Below are 27,454 nucleotides of genomic sequence, written 5' to 3' on the forward strand. Positions count from 1 at the left end.
TAGGCGTGTGCCATCACGCCCGGCTAATTTTTGTATTTTTAGTAGAGACGGGGTTTCTCCATTTTGGTCAGGCTGGTGTCGAACTCCTGACCTCCAGTGATACGACCGCCTCGGCCTCCCAAAGTGCTGGGATTACAGGCGTGAGCAACCGTGCCCGGCCTCTATTGCTTTTTTAAAAGCAATAGCTGGTGACCTGACTTCTCACCGGCCTTAGCACTCCACGCCCCAGATGTGGCCCAGGAAACTCTTTGGAACTCTCTACTCCAGAGTGAATGGGGAATAGAAATGGAGAGGATTTCTATGCTATTCTGTGGGGCGTCAGCGTGAAATTACACATTCTGCACAGGTTGAGTTTGCATATTGTATTTTAGTTTGCATTCCTTTCACAGACAATTTAAGGGATTTTCAATTAAATTTCTAAATTTTAATTGAATTCCTTAATTTTAATTGTGGGAACTTTCCTGGATCCAAACAACAGACGTTGACCCTCCTAGTGAGATCCCAGGTCACAAACCGTGGAGCGGCTCCAGCCTGACTGGCAAGTGTGGCTTGCAAAACGCGGAAAACCGAGACACGCCCAGAGATAGGAGGAGGGAAGTGCAGGCCCCGTCCAATAAGTATTCAGGCCCCGCCCGCCACGTCGCTGGCCACGCCCCGGCCCGGCCTCTCCGTTCGCGCGCAGCCGCCTGCAGACCCGGAAGTGGATGGCGTGGAGATATGGCGCAACTGCGGCGCGTGAGTTTTCCTTTGTTTAGATTAAGTGTTCGCTTAGCGGTGCCCTCACGCTTCTGTACCCGGGATGTGGGGGGCGGTACAGACCTTGAAATCCCCGCACCGCTCTCTCCACCCCGAGTAAATTCATGCGTCCCGTCAGAGTGTTAAAATCGCCCTAGGGCTGGTTCTGTCTCCGGTCGTTCTGCCGTAGGGCTGCGTAGGCAGCTGCTTTCGCGCCGTTTTCCTGCTTAAAACCCTTCAGTGACCCCTCCGCCAGCCCCGCGCCACGTAAAGTCCCCGCCTGCGAGGCGGATCCACGCCCTCCGGGTCCCAAGCCTCGTCCTTGTCGGCCCCTGGGGCGCAGCGCCGCAGCCGCCATTCGGGAGGGGCCGCGTCCTCTGCCTGGTCTGGGGATTCTGCAGACCCCACCCCTGATCTGCCTGCCGCCGTAGTCCTCCTTGGGCCGTTCCCTTCTGTCCCCAGGCCTTTTCGCAGTCACGGCTTCTCCGGATCCTGTGTTGGGGGAGGTGGCCGGGACCTATCTCAGGGCACCCAGTGTTCTTCCGTCCCAAATTCCTCCCATTGGAAACTGTGCTCTTGAGGAGGTGGGTATTTTATTCCAGTCCCCTCCCTGTGAATGTGAAGTGAAAGAGAGATGGAGAGCGAGGTAGAGGAAACAGAAAAATTTAGAGAGAAAATAATGAGGAAGATCCATAACAAGACGGCAACGCAGAGGGAGGGTGAGAGATTTGCAAAGTGAAAGAAGCACCCCAGGAAGTAGCAGGGAGAGAAAAGCAACTCGAGAAATGTAGAGAAAAGTTCTATTTCTAGACAGATGAAGGACAGCAAGGTAGGGAGAGGGGCAGCAAAGCGGGAGGCTCCTCAGACAAAGTTGGGGAGAGGAGGAGGGATTTGGAGCCAGGGCAGACCGAGCAGCGTGGTGCTGGCACAGCAAGAGGGGGCAGCCGGTGACAAGGAGGGCAAAGGGAGAACCACCCCAGAGATCTGGGGTTGCCAGACAGTAGGGACAAGGGGGCGTGACAGAGAAGAGGGAATTTAACAGGAGGAGCACAGATGGGAGAAGAAAGAGGCAGAAATATATGGAGATTGGAGACAATCAAAAGATTGGAGAGAAAGAGCAACAAGAGGAAAAAAATTGCAAGATGGAGCAGATGAAGTGGAAAAGAAGGAATAGAGGGAAGAAGGGGAGAAACTGCGGGAGAGGAGAGGGGCTCAAAATCTCGGCTCACTGCAACCTTAGCCTCCTGAGTTCAAGCGATTCTCCTGCCTCAGCCACCCGAGTAGCTGGGACTACAGGCGCCCGCCAGCTCGCCTGGCCAATTTTGTATTTTTAGTAGAGACAGGGTTTCACCGTGTTGGCCTGACGGGTCGTGAACTCCTGAGACCTCAGGTGATCTGCCCACCTCGGCCTCCCATAGTGCTGGGATAACAGGCTTGAGCCACCTTGCCCGGCCTCCTCACATTTTATTAATTTGCTGGAATGGTTCCCAGAACTCAGAGAAAATTTTACTTAGGTTTACTATCAGTTATAAAGGTTATTACAAAGGATACAGGTGGAAGAGCCATCCTAGCAAATCAAAATAGAGGAGTGTGTTTTGGAAACCGTTAATTTTATCCATATCTGAGGTGAGGGGCAGTCTTGTGGGACTGAGTCCTTAACTGGGATCTGATTCTATCTCCAGGTAGATACTATCAAAATTGAGTTAAATTGTGGGTCATCCAGCTGGGAGTGTGCCAGAGAACTGGTCAGTATGCGGAAAAACACGTGCACATTTCCATCTCAACCAGTAAAGGGAAGAGATCTCCAACCGGCCCACCCACCTGTCTCAGGGCCTGTGATCTCTACTCAGTAGTAACTGGGAATGGTCTGTCCCTCCCCCTGGCTGTTGCTGACCCTGCGATTGTGCACCAGGTGCCAGCCCTACTCACAGTCTCAGGACAGTGTGACATCCTTCCTCTGGCATCACCAATATTTACTTCAAGGGATTACTTTGGTTAGTGCACCCACATGGAGGTATTGTCCATGAAAACACACACAGACACACTGGCTGGGTGCGATGGCTCACGCCTGTAATCCCAGCACTTTGGGAGGCCAAGGCGGGTGGATCACTTATGGCCAGGAGTTCCAGACCAGCCTGGCCAGCACGGTGAAACCCCATGTCTACTAAAAATACAAAAATTAGCTGGGTGTGGTGACACGTACCTGTATTCCCAGTTACTCCGGAGGCTGAGGCAGGAGAGTCACTTGAACCCAGGAGGTGGAGGTTGCAGTGAGCCGAGATGGAGGTTGTAGTGAGCTGAGATCATGCCACCGCACTCCAGCCTGGGTGACAAGAGTGAGACTGTCTCAAAAAAAAAAAAAAAAAAAAAGCACAGATGAAGCCTTCATTTTCTTGCCACTCCTCCATGATTAAAATAAAAAATATTCTATTAATTACATCTCTCCCTGTAGTGAGTACCCCTCTTCAACGCTCCATTTGAGAACACAGTACACTAAAATCTTGTTTATATTTCTGTCTTCAGTCTTGCCTCCAGTTCTTGATTTACCCCCTTCCAATTAAGCTTTCACCTCCACCATTCCTTTGATCCTTTTTTCCCAGAGGTACCAGTGATCTCTGTGTTTCGAAGTCCAATTTTGAATTTCCTATCCTCATCTTTTCGTCTTAGCAACATGTTGCACAGCTGATCATTCCCTGTTCTTTTTTCTTAGCTTTGAAGACATCTCTAAGTTTAATTACTTTGTTTCAGATTTTTGTGTTACCAGTTTCCTCTGCTGGTGTCTCCTGAAGCTGTCTTCTCTGAATGTGGGAGTGTCCCATGATTTAGGTCTTTTTCATTTTTGTTTTTGTTTTTAAGACACGGTCTCAGTCTGTCACCCAGACTGGAGTGCAGTGGTGCAATCATAGCTCCCTGCAGCCTTGAACTCCCGGGCTCAGGAGGTCCTCCTGCCTCAGCCTCCCAAGTAGCTGGGACTCTAGGTGCATACCACCACACCTGAGTAATTTTTTTATTTTTTAGTACAGACTGGGTTTCCCTATGTTGAATAGGCTTGGATCTCAAAACTCTTCTCATCTCTTTTCACACACACTACCCTTCCTTATCATCTCATCTCATGGCTTTGAACCCCATCTACCTGTCTCCATGTGCCCTGCAGACCTCTGCCCTGAGGTCTAGAAACCTGTGTTCAGTTGTCCCCTCACTTCTCTGCTGGGACATCTAACAGGCATCTCCACCTTCGTATGTGCCACTTTCTGAACTCCCCCAAATGCATTCCCCTGCAGTCCTGCACATCTCAGATGAGGGTGACCCTGTACTTCCTGGGGCTTAGCTGAACTTGTCATATGTTCAAAATATGTAAGATGTTACATTGTAAATACATTAATATATTTTTTTTTCGAGACGGAGTCTTGCTGTGTCACCAGGCTGGAGTGCAGTGGTGTGATCTTGGCTCACCATAACCTCTGCCTCCCGGGTTCAAGCAATTCTCCTGTCTCAGCCTCCCAAGTAGCTGGGACTACAGGCGTGCACCATCACGCCCAACTAATTGTTTGCATTTTTAGTAGAGATGGGGTTTCATCATGCTGGCCAGGATGGTCTCGATCTCTTGACCTTGTGATCTGCCCGCCTTGGCCTCCCAAAGTGCTGGGATTACAGGCATGAGCCACCATGCCCAGCCTATAAGTACATTAATTTATAACATAAATAATTACATAGTTACTAAAACAGATGAGGAAATTTGTTGTTTCTGAAATTCTTTGGAGGTATGGGAGAGAAATGTTGGTGGCCTCATCCCTGTGTGATCTGCATCCCAGGACCTCTCTGAGCTCATCTCCTCCCTGTGTCCCCCTCGTTCCCTCTGCCGCAGCCACACAGACCTCTTTCCTGGGGCCAGGGTTGCTCCTGCCTCAGGGCTTCCACCTGGGCTGTCCCTCTGCCTGGACATCTCTAGCCTGTCAGCTGCAGGTGCAAACACCTTTTCTTCCCCAGGTCTTTGTTCTGATATTACCTTCTTCATGGAGGGTTCTGTGTTCCTCTCCACCCTACATTTAACACTCCAGCTACACCCTTACCCCTACTGTGGTCCACATTGCCTGCTCTGGATGTTTCTTTCTGCTCTTTTGCTGTCCACTACGTAAATCCTGGTAACAAGACCCAAGGGTAGAGCAGAGCCAGAAGGTGGGGGTGTGCTGGGCTTGCCCCGTCTGAGTGGAGCTCACCCCTGTTTTCACATTGGAGTGCAGATACACATCTTGTGCCCCCAGCCTCTTACCTGAGATTCCCATTCACATACTCAGGTTGGGCCCAGCCTTAATATTTGAAGTTGATTCTACAGTAGTTTCTCCTTATCTGCCAGTGTACTTTTTGAGGTTCCAGTTACTCATGGTCAACCACAGTCCAAGGTATTACGTGGAAAGTTCCAGAAATGAAGAATTCACAAGTTTTCAATTTCTCATCCTTCTGAGCAGGATGATACAATCTCTCACTGTCCCACTCTGTTTTGTCCAGGACTTGAATCATCTCTTTGTCCTGTATGTCCCCCTGTATAGTCATCCCTCGGTATCACGTAGGATTTGCTTCCAAGATCCCCCCAAGACTACCCAAATCAGATGATCTTCAAGACCCTTATATAAAATTGCATAATACAGTCACATGCCACATAAGGACATTTCGGTCAACAGCAGCCCACACCTGTGATGGTGGTTCCATAAGATTACACTGGAGCTGAAAAATTCCCGTTGCCTAGCTACCTCAGAGCAGTCATGACATCATAGTGCAGTGCATTCCTTGTATTTGTGGTGATGCTGGCGGAAACAAACCTAGTGCGTTACCAAACAGCTTTAACCTGGATGTGGAGGAGGATGACATTGAGAATCTCTTAGAGGTGGTTCATGAGGAATGGGTTAATGAGGAGTCATTGGAACTGATACAGGAACATGTAGCTGAAGAAGAGGCAAGAGAATAGGGAACTGGCTGGGCACGGTGGCTCACATCTATAATCCCTGCACTTTGGGAGGCCGAGGCAGGTGGATCACTTGAGGTCAGTAGTGTCAGGAGTGGTGGCACATGCCTGTGGTCCCAGCTACTTGGGAAGCTAAGGTAGGAGAATCACTTGAACCCAGGAGGTGGAGGTTGCAGTGAGCCAAGATCACGCCACTGCACTCCAGCCTGAGCGACAGAGTGAGACTCCATCTCAAAAAAAAAGAATGAGCCAATAGGAAACTGAAGGAGAAAAAGAAAGTACTCTCAAGGCAATTCACAGTTAAAGATATAGCAGAAGCTTTTGCAGACCTTGACAAGCTCCTTAAAAGGTTTGAAAACATAGGCACCAACACCTAAAGATTTTCATTAATAGAAAGGAGCGTCCATGATGCATTATCCGCTCATAAGAACATTTAGGAAGACAAAAGAAACAAAGCAAGCAAACCACCATGGACGTATTTCTGAAAGGAGTGACGCCTCTAGAAGAGGCTCAGGCAGGTCCTTCAGGAGGCGTCTGGGAGAAACCATTGTTACCATAGGAGGACTTTCTGGTGGGAGAAGATGTGGCACTGGAAGACAGTGACACTGATGGTCCTGACCCTGTGCAGGCCTAGGCTGATGTGTGTGTTTGTGTCTTAGTTGTTGACAAAAATGTTTAAAAAGGTTAAAAAAAAATTAAAAACAAGAAAAAGTTTAGAGAATTAAGGTACAAAGATAAAATATTTTTGTATAGCTGTACAACATGTTTGTGTTTTAAGCTGTTATTGCAAAAGAATCAAAAAGTTAAATTTAAAAGTTTATACAGTAAAACAGTTGGAATAAGTAAGCTTAGTTTATTACGGAAGAAAAAAGTATTTTTTGTGAAGTTAGTGCAGCCTAAATGTGCAGTGTTTATAAAGCCTGTAGTAGTGTACAGTCATGTCCTAGACCTTCACATTCATTCATCACTCACTCACTCACCCACAGCAATTTCCAGTCCTCCAAGCTCCATTCATGGTAAGTGCCCTAGACAAGTGTACCATTTTTTAAACTCTTATACCATATGACTACTATATTTTTTCTTTCTTTTTTTTTTTTTTTTTGAGACAGAATCTCACTCTGTCACCCAGGCCGGAGTGCAGTGCAGTGGTGTAATCCTGGCTCACTGCAACCTCCGCCTCCTGGGTTCAAGTGATTCTCCTGCCTCAGCCTCCCGAGTAGCTGGGATTACAGGCACCCACTTTCATGCCTAGCTAATTTTTGTGTTTTTAGTAGAGACGGGGTTTCCCCATGTTAGCCAGGCTGGTCTCGAACTCCTGACCTCAGATGATCCACCTGCCTTGGTCTCCCAAAGTGTTGGGATTAGAGGCATGAGCCGCCGTGCCTGGCCTTACTGTACCTTTTCTATATTTAGATATGTTTTGACTTACGAGTACTTACCGTTGTTACAGTTGACTATAGTATTCAGGACATAGCATGCCCTACAGGTTTTTAGCAGTAGGCTGTATTATATATACCAGATGTGTAGTAGGCTATGCTATCTTGGTTTGTGTAAGTTCCCTCTGTAATGAAATGGTCTGAAAATGCGTTTCTCAGAACATGTCCCTGTTATTAAGCGATGCGTGACTGCATTTGCATGTAACCTATGCACATCCTCTGCACCCTCCCATATACTGTAAACATCTGATTACTGGTAATACCTAATTAAATATAAATGCTATGTAAATGCTTGTTATACTGGGTTGTTTTCTTGTATTATTTTTATTGTATTGCTATTTTATATTGGTATATTGCTTCCTTTTGTCTTTTTTAAATTATTTAAGTCTGTAATTGGTTGAATCCATGGATACAGACCCCATGCACTGTATACTCTGTCTGCCCATCAATCTGTTAATAGTCTTCTTTTTTGTTTTGTTTTGTTTTGTTTTTAATAGTAGTCTTTTTGATCAGATCCAATTTTGTGGTACCTCATTGGTTTTGTTTAAGTGATCCTTATTTTACTTAACATGCCCCCCAAGCACATGAGCATTGATGTTGGCAATTTGGATATGTCAGTGAGAATCTGTCACAGGCATCCTTTAAGTGGAGTAAATAGGGTTCAGTACTGTTCCAAGTTTCATTCACTCAGGGTTTTGCAACGTATCCCCTTGGATAAAGGGATTTTACTGTATTCTGTATCCAGCATTGAGCACCGAAGCCGTGTTCTCATTTCTGAAGGCTGAGTTCAGCCTCTGATTCACAAAGAGGTGAGGGGGTGCTGTGCTCTGCATGGGGTTTGGTCAGAGCCAGGTCTGTGCCCTGAAGGGGAGCTTAGTCCAGCCCAGCTCCCCACTGCTGCAGTGTGTGTGTGGGCTTCTCCAGGAGGGGAGCGGGTTCTGAAGAAAGGGGCCAAAAGCTCACTTGTTCTTCCTGTAGGAGTTTATTGTCCCGGCATCAACTCTGATGCAGTGGGCAGCAGAGGACCGTATTTCCACAGGGTGAGGTCTTCCCTGCGTGTGTGGTTGTGGCACAGGAAGAAAGTATGTTGATTCTAAACCCTAAACAGCATATTTTTGACATTCAGGATTGACTTCTAAAGAGTCATGTTGGCCGGGCGCGGGGGCTCATACCTGTAATCCCGGCACTTTGGGAGGCCGAGACGGGCAGATCACGAGGTCAGGAGATCAAGACCATCCTGGCTAACACGGTGAAACCCCGTCTCTACTACGAATACAAAAAATTACCTGGGCGTGTTGGCGGGCACCTGTAGTCCCAGCTACTCAGGAGGCTGAGGCAGGAGAATGGTGTGAACCCGGGAGGCGGAGCTTGCAGTGAGCTGAGATCGGGCCACGGCACTCCAGCCTGGGTGACAGAGTGAGACTCCGTCTCAAAAAAAAACAAAAAAAGTCATGTTATGTGAAGGAGAAGCCCAGAAGAGGAAAGCAGAGGAGTCAGGCATGCCACTTACTCAGGTAAAGTGATATTCTCAGTAGATTGTTCTGTTTCTTATTTCTTCCTGAAATGCCGGGTGCTGGAGTTGAGAATCTTCTCTGAGTCTGAAGCATCCTGCCTGACAGGTTTGCTCACACTCACCCATGCCTTCCTTCAGTCCCTCTCATCTCGCTTAGATTCCATCTCTTGTGACCCAGTGACATGAACTTGGGAAGAGGCTGCACTGGGCGTGATCCTGGGAAGGGCTCACACCCAGACGTGGGTGGAGACGGGGTGAGGGCCCCGTGGTGTCAGTGCTGTTGGGCAGCAGGGATTGTTCAGGGGCCACATCTGGATGCTCTGTCAGCTCTCTGTGGACCAGGATTAGAGAAGCTGCCCACAGAAATCACCTATTAATGTGCACAAGTACCTGGTAAATTCTGCAATAAAAATTCAGGAAATCTTTTCTGCCTTTTTTTTTTTTTTTTGGAGACAAGAGTCTTGCTCTGTCGTCCAGGCTGGCATACAGTGGTGCAATCTTGGCTCACTGCAACCTCTACCTCCCAGGCTCAAGCAGTCCTCCCACCTCAGCCTCTTGAGTAGCTGGGACCACAAATGTGTACCACCACGCCCGGCAATTTTTTGAATTTTTGGTAGAGATGGGGTTTCACCATCTCCACCCACCTCAGCCTCCCAAAGTGTTGGGATTACAGGCGTGAGCCATCACGCCAGGCCTTTTCTGACTTTTAGTAATAGCCATTCTGACTAATGAGATGGTATCTCATTGTGGTTTTGATTTGCATTTCTCTAATGATCAGTGATACTGAGCTTTTTTTCCATATGCTTGTTGGCTACATGTATGTCTACTTTTGAGAGGTGTCTGTTCATGTCCCTTGCCCACTTTTTTCGTTTGTTTGTTTGAGATGGAATTTCGCTGTTGTCGCCCAGGCTGGAGTGCAATGGTGTGATCTCAGTTCACTGCAACCTCTGCCTCCCGGGTTCAAGCAATTCTCCTGCCTCAGCCTCCCGAGTAGCTGGGACTACAGGCCCCTGCCAGCACACTCAGCTAATTGTTGTATTTTCAGTAGAGACGGAGCTTCACCATGGTGGCCAGGCTGGTCTCGGAACTTCTGATGTCAGGTGATCCAACTGCCTCAGCCTCCCAAAGTGCTGGGATTATAGGCATGAGCCACCGCACCTGGCCCTTTGCCCACTTTTTAATGGGGTTTTCTCTTGTAAATTTGCTTAAGTTCCTTGTAGATGCTGGATATTAGACCTTTGTTAGATGCATAGTTCGCAAAAATTTTCTCCCATTCTGTAGGTTGTCTGCTCACTCCGTTGATAGTTTCTTTTGCTGTGCAGAAGCTCTTAAAGTTAATTGGATATCACTTGTCAATTGTTGTTTTTGTTATGATTGCTTTTGGTGTCTTTGTCATGAAATCTTTGCCCATTCCTGTGTCCAGGATGGTATTGCCTAAGTTGTCTTCCAAGGTTTTTATAGTTTGGGGTTTTACACTGAAGTCTTTAATCCATCTTGAGTTGATTTTTGTATATGGTATAAGGAAGGGGTCCAGCTTCAATCTTCTGCATGTGGCTAGCTGGTTATCCAGCACCGTTTATGAAATAGGGAGTCTTTTCCCCATTGCTTGTTTTTGTCAGCTTTGTCAAAGATCAGTTGGTTGTAGATGCACGGCCTTATTTCTGGGCTGACTATTCTGTTCCATTGGTCTTTGTGCCTGTTTTTGTACCAGTACCATGTTGTTTTGGTTACTGTAGCCTTGTGGTATAGTTTGAAGTTGGATAACTTGATGCCTCCAGCTTTGTTCTTTTTGCTCAGGATTGCCTTGGCTATTTAGGCTCTTTTTTGATTGCATATGAATTTTAAAATAGTTTTTTCTAGTTCTGCAAAGAACGTCATTAGGATTAGCTTTCAATCTGTAAATTCTTTGGGCAGTATGGTCATTTTAATTATATCGATTCTTCTTATCCGTGAGCATGGGATGTTTTTCTGTTTGTGTCTTCTCTGATTTCTTTGAGCAGTGGTTTGTAATTCTCACTAGAGAATAAATTTTAATGGACAAAGCAATGGGTTAGTGCAGTAGTATAAGCCTATAATTTGAGCTTCTTGGGAGGCTGAGATGGTAGGATCTCTTGAGTTTGAGACCACCCTGGGCAACATAGTAAGACCTCACATAAATTTTAAAACATATTATATTTATATATTTGAAAATAGGTATTTGTGACTGGAGTTCAAGTTTCTATGTTTTTTTTTTCATGATTTACCTTTTCTTTTTTTTTTTTTTTTTTTTTTTTGAGACGGAGTCTCACTCTTTTGCCTAGGCTGGAGTGCAGTGGTGTGATCTCGGCTCAGTGCAACCTGCATCTCCTGGGTTCAAACAGTTCTCCTACCTCAGCCTCCCGAGTAGCTTGGATTACAGGTGCCCGCCACCACGCCTAGCTAATTTTTGCATTTTTAGCAGAGACGGGGTTTCACCATGTTGGCCAGGCTGGTCTCGAACTCCTCACCTCAGGTGATCCGCCCGCCTCAGCCTCCCAAAGTGTTGGGATTACAGGCGTGAGCCACCGCTCCCAGCTGGTCTACTTTTTTTAAATAGCTTAATATACAATAATGTTTATAAACTAAACTGAGTACTATTTATACATTTTTATTGTTGCAAAGATGCTGAAATACACATTAGCAAAAATAATAATGACTGCCAGGCAGTATGTGCACCGTTAGCCCCAGTTTCTTGGGAGGCTGAGGAGGGAGGATCATTTGAGATCAGGAGTTCAAGGCTGTACTGTGCTATGATTACTCACTGTACCCCAACCTGGACAACATAGCAAGACCCAGTCTCTAAGAATTTTTTTTAAAAAAGATGACAAATATCATCTAAAAAATAGGTCATTGAGAGACAACTCCTTATTTCATCTGATGTGTAAATTGTATATGTGTATTACTTTATAAACTAAGTGTGTGTAAGTGTATACATGTGATGTGTTTGCATGAGTGCATGGATAAGCAAGCCTATAGTTAAGCTACAACATCATTTTATAAGAATTTTTTAATTTTAATTTTAATTTTATTTTTCATTTTTTTGAAACTGAGTCTTGCTCTGTCGCCCAGGCTGGAGTGCAGTGGCGTGATCTCAGCTCACTGCAGCCTCCGCCTCCTGGGTTCAAGCGGTTCTTCTGCCTCAGCCTCCCGAGTAGCTGGGACTACAGGCATGCACCGCCACACCCAGCTAATTATTATATTTTTAGTAGAGACAGGTTTCACCATGTTGGCCAGGATGGTCTTGGTCTCCTGACCCCATGATCCACCTGCCTCGGCCTCCCAAAGTGCTGGGATTACAGGTGTGAGCCAACACTTTTGGCCGTGCGTGATGGCTCACGCCTGTAATCCCAACACTTTGGGAGGCCTAGGCGGGTGGATCACCTGAGGTCAGGAGTTCGAGACCAGCCTGACCAATGGAGAAAGGCCATTTGTACTAAAAATACAAAATTAGCTGGGTGTGGTGGCACATACCTGTAATCTCAGCTACTCGGGAGGCTGAGGCAGGAGAATCCCTTGAACCTGGGAGGCAGAGGTTGTGGTGAACCGAGATCGCACCATTGCACTTGAGCCTGGGCAACAAGAGCAAAACTCCATCTAAAAAAAAAAAAATTATATTTTGAACAGTTGAAATTACATCTGAAATACTTGCCATGACCTTATAAGTGTTCTACACTATTGGGCCGGGTGCGGTGGCTCATGCCTGTAATCCCAGCATTTTGGGAGGCCGAGGTAGGTGGCTCGCATGAGGTCAGGAGTTCAAGACCAGCCTGAGCAACATGGTGAAACCTTGTCTCTACTGAAAATACAAAAATTAGCCAGGTATGGTGGTGCGTGCCTGTAATGCTAGCTGCTCGGGAGGCTGAGGCAGGAGAATTACTTGAACCTAGGAGGCGGAGGTTGCAGTGAGCCGAGATTGCGCCACTGCACTCCAGCCTGGGTGACAGACTGAGACTCTGTCAATAAAAAAAAATGTGTTCTACACTATCACGTTAATGAGTTAATGGCAGTAAGAATAGTAATGTATTATGAGGAGGATACATGTGTATGCATATAGAATGACCTTTTACGCAGATTCAGATTTTTGTCCATGAACTTAACTTTACTCAGTTAGGTAATTGTCAGTTTACTTTTAATGCTGATCTGTTACTTAACTGCTTGATTCTTTAGGTTTGATTCTAATGCCCAGACACAAAATTAACCCACAATTCTATAGAAGTGTTAGGTATTATGTTCGACACACCAAGTGATATTCATTGTCTACCTGAGCTAGAATACAAGTAGTTGGCGTCTTCAGAGACACTTGTATGCTAGCTCAGGTAGATATTGAATGAAAAATCTACACTAGTTTAAAGAATATCATAACTTTTTATGGAAAAGTATAATAAAACTCAATCACAGACACATAACTAGCTCAAAAATACCTTAATGTGGATATGTCAGAATGTTCACGTCAGCACTTCAGTTGAGTCAGTCCTTACAACCCTCTTCTCATTTCGTGTGAACATAATTACTCTCTCCTTACCCTGTTGGTCAAATACATCTTTTATTTTAGGGACACTTGACATTCAGGGACGTGGCCATAGAATTCTCTCAGGAGGAGTGGAAATGCCTGGACCCTGTGCAGAAGGCTTTATACAGGGATGTGATGTTGGAGAACTACAGGAACCTGGTCTCCCTGGGTAAGGATAATGCCCCTCCAGAAGTTGGGGTCTGCCCTTAGTATCTCTGCATTTTCCCTTGTGTGCCTCTTGGGAGCCCCTGCATTGCTTGACTGAGATTGAAACCCTGTTGACTTGGCTGGGCACGGTGGCTCATGCCTGTAATCCCAGCACTTTGGGAGGCTGAGGTGGGTGGATTGCTTGAGGTCAGGAGTTCGAGACCAACCTGACCAAAATGATAAAACCCCATCTGTACTAAAAATACAAAAATTAGCCAGGTGTCACGGTGCATGCCTGTAATCTCAGCTACACGGGAGGCTGAGGCAAGAAGAATTGCTTGCACCCAGGAGGCAGAGGTTGCAGTGAGCTGAGATCATGCCACTGCACTCCAACCTGGGTAACAGAGCAAGACTCTGTTTCAAAAAAAAAGAAACCCTGTTGACTCAGAAATGAAAAGCTCCCGTATGCTTTCTGGTCTTGAAATTCCCCCTTTCTTCAGACATTCTGTATCCTTCATGATACACCTTTGGGTGGTACCTGGGCTTAAGTGTGCATAAAACCTTATGACAAACTTTTAAAATATCCAGTTCCCTGTTTTCTACCCCTGTGCTTTTGATTCTATAGTTCTTGGAAGAGAGTTCGATGTCCAATTATTACACAGTTCCCTACGCATTCAGAAGCAGACAGTCTGTGGGTGAATTTGTGAAATGTTTTTCTTGAATTCTTGATTAGTTTTTTTATTTATTTATAGTAGAATGACTTATAATCCTTTGAGTATATACCCAGTAATGCGATTGCTGGGTCAAATGGTATTTCTGGTTCTAGATCCTTGAGGAATCGCCGCACTGTCTTCCACATGGTTGAACTAATTTACACTCCCACCAACAGTGTAAAAGTGTTCCTGTTTCTCCACAGTGTCTCCAGCATCTGTTGCTTGCTGACTTTTTCATGATCGCCATTCTAACTGGCTTTAAAGGATTAATTTTTAATATCATCTCTGCTGCCTAAACAGAGGGCTTGGATTTTGGAGACATCACAGCACATCTTGATTCTTTCTTTTATAAACAGGAATCTGTCTTCCTGACCTGAGTATTATCTCCATGATGAAGCAAAGGACAGAGCCCTGGACTGTGGAGAATGAAATGAAAGTAGCAAAAAATCCAGATAGGTGGGAAGGTATCAAAGATATCAACACAGGTAAGAGCTCAGATGGACAGAGTGAAAGCCACACTTTTTTTTTTTTTTTTGAGACAGTCTCTGTTCCCCACACTGGAGTGCATTGGCCATCATAGCTCACTGCAGCTTTGAACTCCTGGGCTTCAACAGTCCTCCTGCTTTGGCCTCCCAAAGTGATGTGATTATAGGCATGTGCCCCTTGCCTACCAGAGCCACACTATTAAATCGTGTTTATAAGTGGGAGAATTGTGTGGAGAAATAAGAGTTTAAAACCTGTGAGTTCTTAAGAGAAATCTTTCTTTACCCCCACCTGTCACCATGTCCTTTATGTATGTATGTATGTATTTATTCATTTATTTATTTTGAGATGGAGTCTTGCTCTGTCTCCAGGCTGGAGTGCAATGGCGTGATCTCAGCTCACTGCAACCTCCGCCTCCCGGGTACAAGTGAGTCCCCTGCCTCAACCTCCCAAGTAGCTGGGATTACAGGCGTGCGCCACCACGCCCAGCTAATTTTTGTATTTTTAGTACAGACGAGGTTTCACCTTGTTAGCCAGGATGGTCTCAATCTCTTGACCTCGTGATCCGCCCGCCTTGGCCTCCGAAAGTGCTGGGATTATGGTGTCAGCCACCGCGCCCAGCCCACGCTGTCGTTTAGATGTGTAATAGTTTTATGTTTTTGCCCTGCAGTGTTACTGCAGCCCAAACAGAGGCAAAAGCAAAGGCTTTTATCATGATGGACAATACCCTGTCATGTGGCTTCTGTCAACTCTTTAGTCCTTGATTCTGAGGGTCACAGAGAGCGCTGCTTCAAAGGAGTCCCTTTTCCCTGTGGTCTCTTCCTGTATGGGATTTTATCTGATGCTCAGTTCTCTGTCCTTATACATCAGAGCTGAGGTCTGCATAGACCTGCCTCCTTGACCTATTCATGATCTGCCCATTTCCTGTACTGGGAAGACCTGATGGGGAGATGGGAAAACACAGGCTGCTGTCTTTTGCATCTGGGTCCTGGAAACTGCATGGAGCTGTTTCAAGCCCTCTTTGCCTGTTCAGTTCTGTTTGAGGTGGGAAAAAGTCAGTGATTTTCCTACTCTCACATGCTACTTGGCACAGAATGCTTCATTTCTGGTCACCAAAATGTGTGGAGATTTCTCCCCACCAGCAACCAGTTTTGGGGTTTCCTGCAATTCATTGGTGACACTATCTACCTGAGTTAGAGTCGCGTCCCACAGGCTAAGGGTTGAGTTCCCAAGCCTGTCCGCCACCAATTGCCAGTAGCGGGTTGTCACCTTTCCATCTGACCAACCAGCCACAAGTCAGGGTTCCCTCGACCCCCTTCTTCTGTTTGGTTACTTTGCTAGGGTGGCTTACAGAACTCAGTGAAACACTTCGTTATGTTTATTGGTTCATGAGGAAGGATGTTTCCAAGGATACAGATGGACAGCCAGATGAGGAGATTCACAAGGCGAGGCACATGGGAAGATTCACTGGGTGTGCCGCCCTTGAGGCCCACCGCACGTGTTCAGCATGTGGAAGCTCTCAGGAACTTTTATGGAGGCTTCATTACTTAGGCATGATTGGTATTAACTCAGTCTCCAGCCCCTGTACCCTTCCTGGAGGATGGTGGTTGGTGCTGACAATTCTGTGCTTCTAACCATGGCCTGGTCTTTCTGGGCTTTCTATACCTGCAGATATAGAAACCATGGATATGAAGGCCAATAGTAAGGGACTTGAGCATCACACATTTTGGTATCTCAGGGTTTTTTAGCACAAAACTCGCAAACCATGTTTTTCCTCTGCTCTCACACCACCACGACAATTATCAACACAGAAGAAGACTTCTCTGACCAAAGGTGTGGGGGGTTTTCCCCATACACCAAGCAGCAGACAGCAGCTGGGTGTCCTCCAACTCACTTCCAACACTGTATCTGGAGATAGGGCCAGGTCCCACAGGTTTAGGGCTCAGTCTCCAAGACTTGCCCCCCTTCCCACCAGTTGCAAGTCTGGGTCTCCAAACTTCTGACCAACTGGCTTCCAGTTGAGGTTTCCACAATCCCATCTTTGGGCCCAATTAGTTTGCTAGAGCAGCTCACAGAAGTCACAGAAACACTCAGGTTTACCGGTTTATTATGAAGGATATTGCAAGGGTACAGATGAAGAGACATGTGGGACAGGTATGGGGGAAGGACTGTGGAGCTTCCAAGCCCTCCCTGGGCGTGCCACTCTCCAGGAAGCCGCCATGTGTTCAGACATCCTGAAGCTCTTGGAACCCAGTCCTCTTGGGTTTTCATGGAAGCTTTGTGACATCAGCATTCCTTCCCCCAGGGTATACAGCAGGAACCTCTCTGGGGAGGTCTTAAGACCCGCAATCAGAAAGGTAGGGGGAAAGTTAGAGTCCTGCCTTAGGGCAGGTGAAAGAAGAGGAGGAGAAGGTTGGAGAGGTTATTTTTCTTAAGGTCTGCAGAGAAGGTCTAACCCAACATTATACCCAAAGACTGTAGCAAGGGCTATGGGAGTTATGAGCCAGGAACTGTGGACAAAAACCAAGGTATATGTGTATCATAACACCACACAGAGGAGCCTGGAACGTGTCCTCCCTGGATACCAAGGGAGGGATTCTGAATCGAAATAATGGATGTGCACCCAGTCAGTAATCAATGAAAGAGAGTTAATAAGCACAAGTGGGTACCACTGCATTTAAATGATATAAGACCAGAGAGTCAAGAAAGACCTGGATCCCGGAAGAGCTCAATTAAAAAAAAAAAAAGAAAGAAAGAAAGAATCCAAGTGGGCTTTTCCCCCCTAATTATAAAGGAAAAGCCTTCATTCTTTCAATATTGAGTATGATGTTACCTTTCGGCTTTTTATATATGGACTCTATTATGTTAAGTAAGTTCCTCGTATTCCTAGTGTGTTGAGTGTTTTTCTTTCTTTTTTTTTTTTTTCTTTTGGGGGAGTGTCTCATGCTGTCCTGATCTTGACCTTGGCTCACTGCAGCCTCCACCTCCCAGGCTCAAACAATCCTCTCACCTCAACCACATGCCTGGCTGATTTTTGTATTTTTTGTAGAGGTGGAGTTTCGCTGTGTTAGCCAGGCTGGTCTGGAATTCCTGAGCTCAAGCGATCCTCCCGCCTTGGCCTTCCAAAGTGCTAGGATTACAGGCATGAGCCACCGTGCCTGGCGAGTGTTTTTATCATAATTGCTAAGGTTTTTCAAATGTTTTTCTGCATCAGCTGAGATTATTGCATGGATTTCTTTTTCTTTATTCTGTTATTGTGGGATATTACATAGACTAATGTTCCAAAGTTGCATCCTTCTTGCATTCCTGAAATAAATCTTACTTGGTCATGAGGTGTGATCCATTTTAATATGCTGCTGAATTTATTTAGCTACCATTTTGTTGAGGATTTTTGCATTAGATTAATCAGGAATATTGCTCTGCAGTTTTGTTTTGTTTTGTTTTAAGATGGAGTCTCACTGTGGCCCAAGGTGGAGTGCAGTGGCTTGATCTCGGCCCACTGCAGCCTCTGCCTACTGGGCTCAAGTGCTTCTCCTCCCTCAGCCTCCCAAGTAGCTGAGACTACAGGCACCTGCCACCATGCCCGGATAACTTTTATATTTTAATAGAGACAGTGTTTCACTATGTTGGCCAAGCTGGTCTCGAACTCCTGACCTCAGGTGATCTGCCTGCCTCAGCCTCCCAAAGTGCTGGGATTACAGGTGTGAGCCACCGTGCCCGACCTGCTCTGCAGTTTTCTTTTTTTTTTTGAGACGGAGTCTCGCCCGGTCGCCCAGGCTGGAATGCAGTGGTGTGACCTCGGCTCACTGCAACCTCCGCCTCCCGGGTTCAAGCGGTTCTCCTGCCCCAGCCTCCCAAGTAGCTGAGATTACAGGCGCGTGCCACTACGCCTAGCTAATTTTTGTATTTTTAGTAGAGACGGGGTTTCACTGTGTTGGTCAGGCTGGTCTTGAACTCTTGACCTCGTGATCTGCCCGCCTTGGCCTCCCAAAGTGCTGGGATTACAGGCGTGAGCCACTACGCCCAGCCTGCTCTGCTGTTTTCTTTAGGGCCTTTGCCTCTGCTTTCAAGGTAACACTGGCCTCATTGAATGTGTGTAGAAGTGGTTCACCTCCTCAACCTTACGGCAGATTTTGAGGATTGGTGTTAAATCTTTTTTCAATATTTGATAGAATTTTACACTGAGGTCATCTGGTCCATTGCTGTTTTAGTTGGTAGGTATTTAATAACTGATTCAGTCTTCTTATTTGTTACTGGTGTGTTTAGATTTTCTACTTCATTGTTAAGTCTTGGTAAGTGGTGTCTATCTACAAATTTATCCATTTTTTTCTTGGTTAACATATTTTTTGTTATATAATTGTTGAGTCTCATTTAATTTCCATTTTTATTTGTGTAGACTTGTTTGTAATGTCCTCTTTTACCTTTCTAATTGTAGTTATTTCGGTCGTATGCTTCATGTTTCTTTTTTCTAGTTTAGGTAAGGCTTTGTCAAAAGTCTTACCCAAAGAGTGAACTCTTACTTTCCTGACTTTCTCTAGTGCTTCTCTGCTGTTTTCTTTGTTTTCTAACCTTTATTTTTTCTTTCTGCTATCTTAGTGTTCATTTTTTTCTTTTTCTTTTTTTTTTTGAGATGGAGTCCTGTTCTGTCGCCCAGGCTGGAGTACAGTGGTGTGATCTCGGCTCACTGCAACTTCCGCCTCCCAGGTTCAAGCAATTCTCCTGCCTCAGCCTCCCAAGTAGCTGGGACTGTGAGCACATGCCACCATGTCCAGCTAATTTTTTGAATTTTAGTAGAGACGGGGCTTCACCTTGTTGCCCAGGCTGGTCGCGAACTCCTGAGCTCAGGCAATCCACCCGCCTTGGCCTCCCAAAGTGCTGGGATTACAGGTGTAAGCCACCGTGCCTGGTCGTGTTCATTTTTTTCTTTATTGAGATATAAAGTTAGGTTGTTTATACGTTATTTCATTGTAGTTTAGTTATTTAGTTTTTAAGAGATAGGGTCTCACTGTGTCACTTAGGCTGGAGTGCAGCAGCATGATCATAGATCCTGGAATCCAGTGATGATCTCACTTTAGCCTCCTGCGTAGTTGGGACTACAAGCACACGACACTGTGCCTCACTAATTAAAACTAATTTATTTTATTTTATTTATTTATTTTGTTTAGAGATAAGGGGTCTCACTTTGTTGCCTAGGCTGGTCTGCAACTCCTGGCTTCAAGAGATCCTCCCACCTCAGCCTCCCAAAGTGCTGCGATTATAGGTGTGAGCCACCACACCCAGCCGTTTTTTTTTTTTCATGTATGCATACATCATTACAATATCCCTTCCAGCACTATTTTTATTGCATTTCATGAGTTTTGCTGTGTTATATTTACATTTTCCTTTATATCAAGATATTTCCTAATTTTCCTTTTATTTTATTTTTATTTATTTACTTTTATTTATTTATTTTGAGATAGAGCCTTGCTCTGTCACCCAGGCTGGAGTGCAGTGGCACGATCTCGGCTCACTGCAACCTCTGCCTCCCGGGTTCAAGTGATTCTTCTTCTGCCTCAGCCTCCTGAGTAGCTGGGATTACAGGCGCACGCCACCACACCTGGCTAATTTTTTTTATTTTTTTATTTTTAGTAGAGATAGGGTTTCACCATGTTGATCAGGCTGGTCTTGAGCTCCTCACCTCATGATCCACCCACCTTGACCTCCCAAAGTGCTGGGATTACAGGCGTGAGCCACCGCATGTGGTTTTTTTTTTTTTTTGAAACGGATTCTCATTCTGTCACTCAGGCTAGAGTTTAATGGCACAGTCTCAGCTCACTGCAACCTCTGCCTGCCGGGTTCAAGCAGTTCTCCGGCCTCAGCCTCCTGAGTAGCTGGGATTACAGGCACACACCACCATACCCGGCTAATTTTTGTATTTTTGGGTGGAGACGGGGTTTCACCATTTTGGCCAGGCTGGTCTCGAACTCCTGACCTCAAGTGATCCGCCCACCTCGCCCTCCCAAAGTGCTGGGATTACAGCCACCACACCTGGCCTATGCAGCTGCTCATAAGTGTCTTATTTTCCCTAAGAGACTCATCCTGCTTTTTCTTAGAAGCTTTCAATTTCTGTTGTATTTCTCTACTCATAATCCCTCTCAAACTCACCTGTAATCCTCCTGAGTCCTGTAGATTCCCCATTGCTCCATTGCATCACCCTACCTTTTGGGTTTTCTCCACTGCCAGTGTGATACTATGCTGATATTTCTTCCAGTGTCTGAATCAGATGAGGCAGATTCCAGTTCCTCCATCAGGGTCTATACATGCCAGAGTCCGGGCGCGGTGGCTCACACCTATAATCCCAGCACTTTGGGAGGCCACGGCGGGCGGATCACGAGGTCAGGAGATCGAGACCATCCTGGCTAACACAGTGAAACCCCGTCTCTACTAAAAATACAAAAAAATTAGCTGGGCGTGGTGGCGGACGCCTGTAGTCCCAGCTACTTGGGAGGCTGAGGCAGGAGAATGGCGGGAACCTGGGAGGCGGAGCTTGCAGTGATCCGAGATCGTGCCACTGCACTCCAGCCTGGGTGGCAAAGCCAGACTCCAACTCAAAAAAAGTGCAAAAAACATGCCAGAACCATGGGTTCAAATTATACTCTTTACTTGCTTTCCTAGGGAGGAGCTGTGCAGTGAGAAGCAAAGCAGGAAACAAGCCTATTACAAATCAACTTGGATTAACCTTTCAGTTACCTCTGCCAGAACTGGAGATATTTCAAGGTGAAGGGAAGATTTATGAATGTAATCAAGTTCAAAAGTTCATCAGCCACAGTTCTTCAGTTTCGCCACTTCAAAGAATTTACTCTGGGGTCAAAACCCACATATTTAATAAACATAGGAATGATTTTGTTGATTTTCCATTGCTGTCACAAGAACAGAAAGCACACATTAGGAGAAAACCTTACGAATGTAATGAGCAGGGCAAAGTCTTCAGAGTGTCTTCAAGCCTTCCTAATCATCAAGTAATCCACACTGCAGATAAACCTAACAGATGTCATGAATGTGGTAAAACCGTCAGGGACAAGTCAGGCCTCGCAGAACATTGGAGAATTCGTACAGGAGAGAAACCTTACAAATGTAAAGAGTGTGGCAAGCTCTTCAATCGAATTGCATACCTTGCACGACACGAGAAAGTGCATACTGGAGAGAGTCCTTACAAATGTAATGAGTGTGGCAAGGTCTTCAGTCGAATTACATACCTTGTACGACATCAGAAAATTCATACTAGAGAGAAACCTCATAAATGTAACAAATGTGGCAAGGTTTATAGTAGCAGTTCATACCTAGCACAACATTGGAGAATTCATACAGGAGAGAAACTTTACAAATGTAATAAATGTGGCAAAGAATTTAGTGGGCATTCAAGCCTCACCACCCATCTGTTAATCCACACTGGAGAGAAACCTTACAAATGTAAAGAATGTGACAAAGCTTTTAGGCACAAGTTCTCCCTGACAGTTCATCAGAGAAATCATAATGGAGAGAAACCTTATAAATGTCATGAATGTGGCAAAGTCTTCACTCAAGTTTCACATCTTGCACGACATCAGAAAATTCACACTGGAGAGAAACCTTACAAATGTAATGAGTGTGGCAAAGTCTTCACTCAGAATTCACACCTTGCAAATCATCAGAGAATCCACACTGGAGAGAAACCTTACAAATGCCATGTGTGTGGTAAGGTCTTTAGGCACAGTTCATGGTTTGTACAGCATCAGAGAAGTGTTCATGAGAGAGTCCTTACAAACTGAGTTTGGCAAACTCTATCATAAGTTCTAGCAGTAATCAACATCCGAGAGTCTATACTAGAAAGAAATCATTTAAATGTACTATATGTGGCACAGGCTGTATCGAGACCTACCAAATCACTAGACATCGAAACATTCATCTTTGGTGAAACCACACAAATGGATTGTGTGTGCCAAGGCCAACAAGTCAAAATATGTTGAACCTAATGATATGATGTGTATAAAGGGTGCAAGGACACGTGGAAATGATCTGTAATATTCGGGTTATTAAAAATGTAATTGGCTGGGCGCAGTGGCTCACACCTGTAATCCTAGCACTTTGGGAGGTTGAGGCAGGTGGATCACAAGGTCAGGAGTTTGAGACCAGCCTGGCCAATATGGTGAAACACCATATCTACTATAAATACAAAAAAATTAGCCAGGCGTGGTGGCACATGCCTGCAATCCCAGCTACTCGGGAGGCTGAGGCAGGAGAATTGCTTGAATCCAGGAGGCAGAGGTTGTTGCAGTGAGCTGAGATCGCGCCACTGCACTCCAACCTGGGTGACAGAGCGAGACTCCGTCTCAAAAAAAAAAAAAAATTATTTGGGTTTGAAAGGCCAGGGGCAGTGGTTCATGCCTATAATCTCAGCACAATAGAAAGCCAAGACAGGAGGGTCACTTGATGCCTGGAGATCAAGATAAGTATGGGCAACGTAGCAAGGCCCATCCCTACAAAATAAAAAAAATAAGCCAGGCCCTTGGCATGTGTCTGTAGTTCCAGCTACTCAAGAGGCCGAGGCAAGAGGATTGCTCAAGCCCAGGAGTTTGAGAGTTTGAGCAGTGAGCTCTGATCTTGCCATTTGTACTCCAGCTTGGGTGACAGAGCGAGACCCTGTCTCAAAAGAAAAAAAAGGCTAGTTTTTATGACTTCAACCTGAACTTTGAAATTTCTTCATGTGCCTTCCCTACAGGCCTTTCACTGTGGTCTGGGAAAGAATCAGTAAGATGACAGGGCTGACTTCATTAGATGAGGAGCGTTTCTATCCAGTTTCCTGGAGGAATAAGGACACTGCCTTTTCAGATTAAAGATTGTCTGATTTAGAGACCATGGAGGTGGACAGAGAATAACAAAACCGTGATGGCAGTCATCATGCTTATTGCAGTTAGCACACACTTTTCCTGACAGGCACAGTGCTGCTGTGCTCTACAAATGACCATGAAATAGAGCACGCCATGACTTTAGGACACAGGGATTTTTATGGGAAGAGAGTTCATCAGGGACTGATTACGTAGGAGAGACGATGCAGGGGAAATGGTGGCCACCGTCTCCATTGAATAGCAATAGCTGCTGTTTAGCAAAGACTGATTAAAAAGTACTCTGATTTTTCAAATGGAAGAGAGAACAGTTAAATCAGAGTAGAGAGTTTAATCAAAACTACCAGTGGAACATGTTCTTGAGTAGGATTCACATTTAACTGCTGGCATAATTTGCAACTGTTGGATTTTCTCATGTTTGGAACAATAAAGTTGAAATTTTCCAAAGTGTGAATGATTTACCTTCTTTCTACCAATATTGTTTTATCTCGTCTCAGGAGGATACTTTATAGCAGACAATAATAAGGCACCATTAGGATTTTTAAATTAATTTATTTTTAAAATTAAAGTTCTAGTGTACATGTCCACAACATGCAGGTTTGTTACATAGGTATACATGTGCCATATTCGTTTGCTGCACCCATCAACTTGTCATTTACGTTAGATATTTCTCCTAATGTTATCCCTCTGCCAGCCCCCCACCCCCCGACAGGCCCCGGTGTGTGATGTTACCCGCCTTGTGTCCAGGTGTTCTCATTGATCAATTCCCACCTATGAGTGAGAACATGGGGTGTTTGGTCTTCTGTCACTGTGATAGTTTGCTGAGAATGATGGTTTCCAGCTTCATCAATGTCCCTGCAAAGGACATGAACTCATCCTTTTTATGGCTGCATAGTATTCCTTTTTTTTTTTTTTTTTTGAGATGAAGTTTTGCTCTGTCACTCAGGCTGAAGTGCAATGGCACGATCTTGGCTCACTGCATCCTCTGCCTCCCGGGTTCAAGTGATTCTCCTGTCTACACCTCCCAAGTAGCTGGATTACAGGCATGCACCACCATACCCGGCTAATTTTTTTGTATTTTTAGTAGAGATGGGGTTTCACCATGTTGGCCAGGCCGGTCTCGAAGTCCTGACCTCGGGTGATCCAGCCACCTCGGGTTCCCGAAGTGCTAAGATTACAGGCATGAGCCACGGCGCCTGGCCAGGATTTTTAAGGTTGAAGCATCCACAACAATTTTGTGTGTGAAATGAAATGACATGCACTTTTGGGTATATACACTTGGGTAAGTATGATTTTGGGTAATAATACTTAGTACTTAAGTTATTCTCTCTACTCTTTGTTTTTGTTTTTTGTTTGTTTTGTTTTGTTTTGAGATGGAGTTTCGCTCTTGTTTCCCAGGCTGGAGTGCAATGGTGTGATCTCGGCTCACCGCAACCTCCGCCTTCCAGGTTCAAGTGATTCTCCTGCCTCAGCCTCCCGAGTAGCTGGGATTACATGCATGTGCCACCATGCCCAGCTAATTTTGTTTTTTTAGTAGAGACAGGGTTTCTCCATATTGGTGAGGCTGGTCTCGAACTCCTGACCTCAGGTGATCTGCCCACCTCGGCCTCCCAAAGTGCTGGGATTATAGGCATGAGCCACCACACTTGGCCTACCTCTCTACTCTGCCCTAAGATGCTTTTGTGGGTAAAGTGAAAATCACATAACAGTGCAGCTTCATCATCATATGCCCTCAATGTTCATCACTGTTGATAAACATGCACTGTATTATGTTTCTGTGTGCCTTTTTCTTGTGTGCCAAGTAAGACCCATGGCAGGCACCTTCATTTTCAGGAAGCGAAAATACAGATACAGTAATATGGAAAATAGGACAAAGTGTGGACTTCAGGATGAAAATATTGTAACAATCTTGCTGTTGACCTCGTAGCGCTCAGTGACATAATTTGAAAAAATATTAATGTTCAGAAATGTTCTCTTGAGGATGAACACACAGATTGGGAATTTCGTTTTGCTTTGGTAGATTAACTAGAAACTTCACATTTTCACCCTTATAACCTTTTTGGTAATTTGAACTTTTGATCATTCTTCTGGAACTGCTTTGACATCCACCTGAAGTTTGGTTTGGGTATTGAGAATGATGATGCCATTCACTAATGTGATCTCAAAATGTTTACTCCATAATGAGGCTTTCTGGGGAGAGCAGGGTAGACTTCCCCGGTTGGTCCAAATATGACTAGGGAATCGGCATAGGTGACTGGCTTGGGGTATGATGATTGTTAAGGGATAGGGCTTGGGCAGGGGTGCCCACTTGTGGTTTGAACTTTCAGCTGGTGCCAAAGGAGTGGGCACTGAGGATTTTTCAGTTGACCAGATGGGCAGAATAGGAAGAGGGAGTGCAGAGGTGTAAAAGGCGTTGGTGTTCAGACATCACAAAATGCAGTCAACTCTAGGACAACTCTAGCTTCCTCTGGAAGCTCCTGCCATCTTGGTTAGGAAAGACTCTGATTTTCTTCATGATAATATCTTACGTTCCTTTTATAGTTACAGATACAGGTCTCATTGCACAATATGATTGTTGAAAACACTTGTGAAATTTTTTTAGTAAAATTGCCTAAGATACTTTTTATAGTAGACAATGAAAATTAGTGTGTGGGTTTATAATAAATATAATGTATTATATAATATGATTAAAATATATTTGTTATAAATATGATATTACTAGAAGAGCATTTTTCCAAAAGCTATGGAAATGTCATTTTCCCGTTACAGCATCAAGCAATATATTCCATGGTTCATTTTCAACTCTAATAAAATTATATTTTGTGTTTATATATGCACGTATAGACACATATATAATATTTTTTTTTTACTTTTTTCTTTTTCTGTACATTGCATCCAGATGCTATGCTTGTTTGTTTTTTTTTTTGAGACAGAGTCTTGCTCTGTCACCCAGGCTGGAGTGCAGCGGTGTGATCTTGGCTCATTGCAGCCTCCGCCTCCCAGGCTCAAGTGATTCTCCTGCCTCGGCCTCCCGAATAGCTGGGATTACAGACATGCACCATCACCACACCTGGCTAATTTTTGTATTTGTAATAGAGATGGGGTTTCACCATGTTGGCCAGGCATGGTCTTGAACTCCTGACTTCAGGTGATCCACCCGCTTCGGCCTCCCAAAGTGTTGGGATTACAGGCATGAGCCACCATGCCCGGCCAGATGCTATGCTTAATACATTTTTTCCGAATGTCACTCTAGTGAAAATTTTAGGGGACACAAAAATGAGACTGTTGTTTGGAGACAATATTTTTTGACAAGAGTATGCACAAGACAATGGCAGGTATAAACGTTTTATTGTAAATATGAAAAAGGAAAAAATGCTTTCACTATATTAGAGGACTTGAAGTAACGTGAAGTGATTCCAACCCTTTATCTTTATTTTATTTATTTATTTTATTATTTATTTTTTTGAGATGGAGTTTCACTCTTGTTGCCTAAGCTGGAGTGCAATGGAGTGATCTCAGCTCACTGCAACCTTCACCTCCCGGGAGCATGCTGCTCTATCTTTTTTTTCAGATGTTTGAGCTATTCCAGGTTTTTTGGGATTTCTGTTGGTTTGTTTTGTTTTTTGCTTTTCTACATAATTGTTTGGATAATCTTGTCAGTATCTACGAAGTGCCTTGATAGTAAATATATTAACCCTGTGTATCAATTTGGGGTAATTTCACATTTTTTTCTATGTTGAGTTTATCAATAAATTGATATTGTATATGTCTCTATCTGGGTGTCTTTGATTTCTTTCATCAGCATTTTGTAGTTTTAAAATCCTGAGAATGTTAAATTAACATATTTTTTGACTTTTTTTTTTTTTTTTTGAGACAGAGTCTTGTTCTGTTGCCTGGTCTGGAGTGCAGTGGCACAATCTCAGCTCACTGCAACCTCCGCCTCCCAGGTTCAAGCGATTCTCCTGCCTCAGCTTCCTGAGTAGCTGGGATTACACGCGTATGCCACCATGCCCAGCTAATTTTTGTATTTTTAGTAGAGATGGGGTTTTACCGTGTTGGCCAGGCTGGTCTCGAACTC

General features: G+C 44.9%; 1 protein-coding gene, 1 long non-coding RNA gene and 1 other non-coding gene across 3 annotated transcripts, besides 5 other annotated features; 2 read left to right on the forward strand and 1 right to left on the reverse strand.

Moving 5' to 3' along the window:
• Positions 348–8,731, reverse strand: LOC124904763 (uncharacterized). The gene is made up of 4 exons (XR_007067331.1): positions 8,642–8,731; positions 8,418–8,559; positions 2,939–3,077; positions 348–1,345 (listed from the first exon to the last, which is right to left on the reverse strand). It is a non-coding gene; the product is annotated as an uncharacterized LOC124904763 (long non-coding RNA).
• Positions 432–977: an enhancer, noted in NCBI's record as "NANOG-H3K27ac-H3K4me1 hESC enhancer chr19:52772581-52773126 (GRCh37/hg19 assembly coordinates)". NCBI's record gives its function as "activates a minimal SCP1, AML or CMV promoter by ChIP-STARR-seq in naive H9 embryonic stem cells {active_cell/tissue: H9 hESC(naive)}" and the evidence as "EXISTENCE:reporter gene assay evidence [ECO:0000049][PMID:30033119]".
• Positions 432–1,194: a biological region, named in NCBI's record as "Sharpr-MPRA regulatory region 2064".
• Positions 488–717: a silencer, noted in NCBI's record as "silent region_10994". NCBI's record gives its function as "represses an Ori minimal core promoter by ATAC-STARR-seq in GM12878 lymphoblastoid cells {active_cell/tissue: GM12878}" and the evidence as "EXISTENCE:reporter gene assay evidence [ECO:0000049][PMID:35858748]".
• ZNF766 (zinc finger protein 766) lies at positions 691–27,150 on the forward strand. Its single transcript, NM_001010851.3, has 4 exons — positions 691–735; positions 13,215–13,341; positions 14,389–14,517; positions 21,170–27,150. The coding sequence occupies exons 1-4, from the start codon at positions 718–720 to the stop codon at positions 22,300–22,302; spliced, it is 1,407 nt and encodes a 468-aa protein (NP_001010851.1). The 5' UTR covers positions 691–717; the 3' UTR covers positions 22,303–27,150.
• Positions 900–1,194: an enhancer, noted in NCBI's record as "tiled region #2064; K562 Activating non-DNase unmatched - State 1:Tss". NCBI's record gives its function as "activates a minimal TATA promoter and a strong SV40 promoter by Sharpr-MPRA in K562 cells {active_cell/tissue: K562}" and the evidence as "EXISTENCE:reporter gene assay evidence [ECO:0000049][PMID:27701403]".
• Positions 1,628–1,697: an enhancer, noted in NCBI's record as "active region_15043". NCBI's record gives its function as "activates an Ori minimal core promoter by ATAC-STARR-seq in GM12878 lymphoblastoid cells {active_cell/tissue: GM12878}" and the evidence as "EXISTENCE:reporter gene assay evidence [ECO:0000049][PMID:35858748]".
• Positions 12,901–12,997, forward strand: MIR643 (microRNA 643). Its single transcript, NR_030373.1, has one exon. It is a non-coding gene; the product is annotated as a microRNA 643 (primary transcript).
• Positions 27,151–27,454: the final 304 nt, after the last annotated feature.

The sequence above is a fragment of the Homo sapiens genome, chromosome 19, assembly GCF_000001405.40.
Source record: "Homo sapiens chromosome 19, GRCh38.p14 Primary Assembly".
Classification (NCBI taxonomy): Eukaryota; Metazoa; Chordata; class Mammalia; order Primates; family Hominidae; genus Homo; species Homo sapiens.

Bases quoted from the DNA above. Each gene is read 5' to 3' on its own strand.
- ZNF766 (NM_001010851.3), top strand. The intron at 13,342-14,388 runs GTAAGGATAATG...TTTTATAAACAG, and splicing joins CAGGAACCTGGTCTCCCTGG to GAATCTGTCTTCCTGACCTG. The intron at 14,518-21,169 runs GTAAGAGCTCAG...TTGCTTTCCTAG, and splicing joins TATCAAAGATATCAACACAG to GGAGGAGCTGTGCAGTGAGA.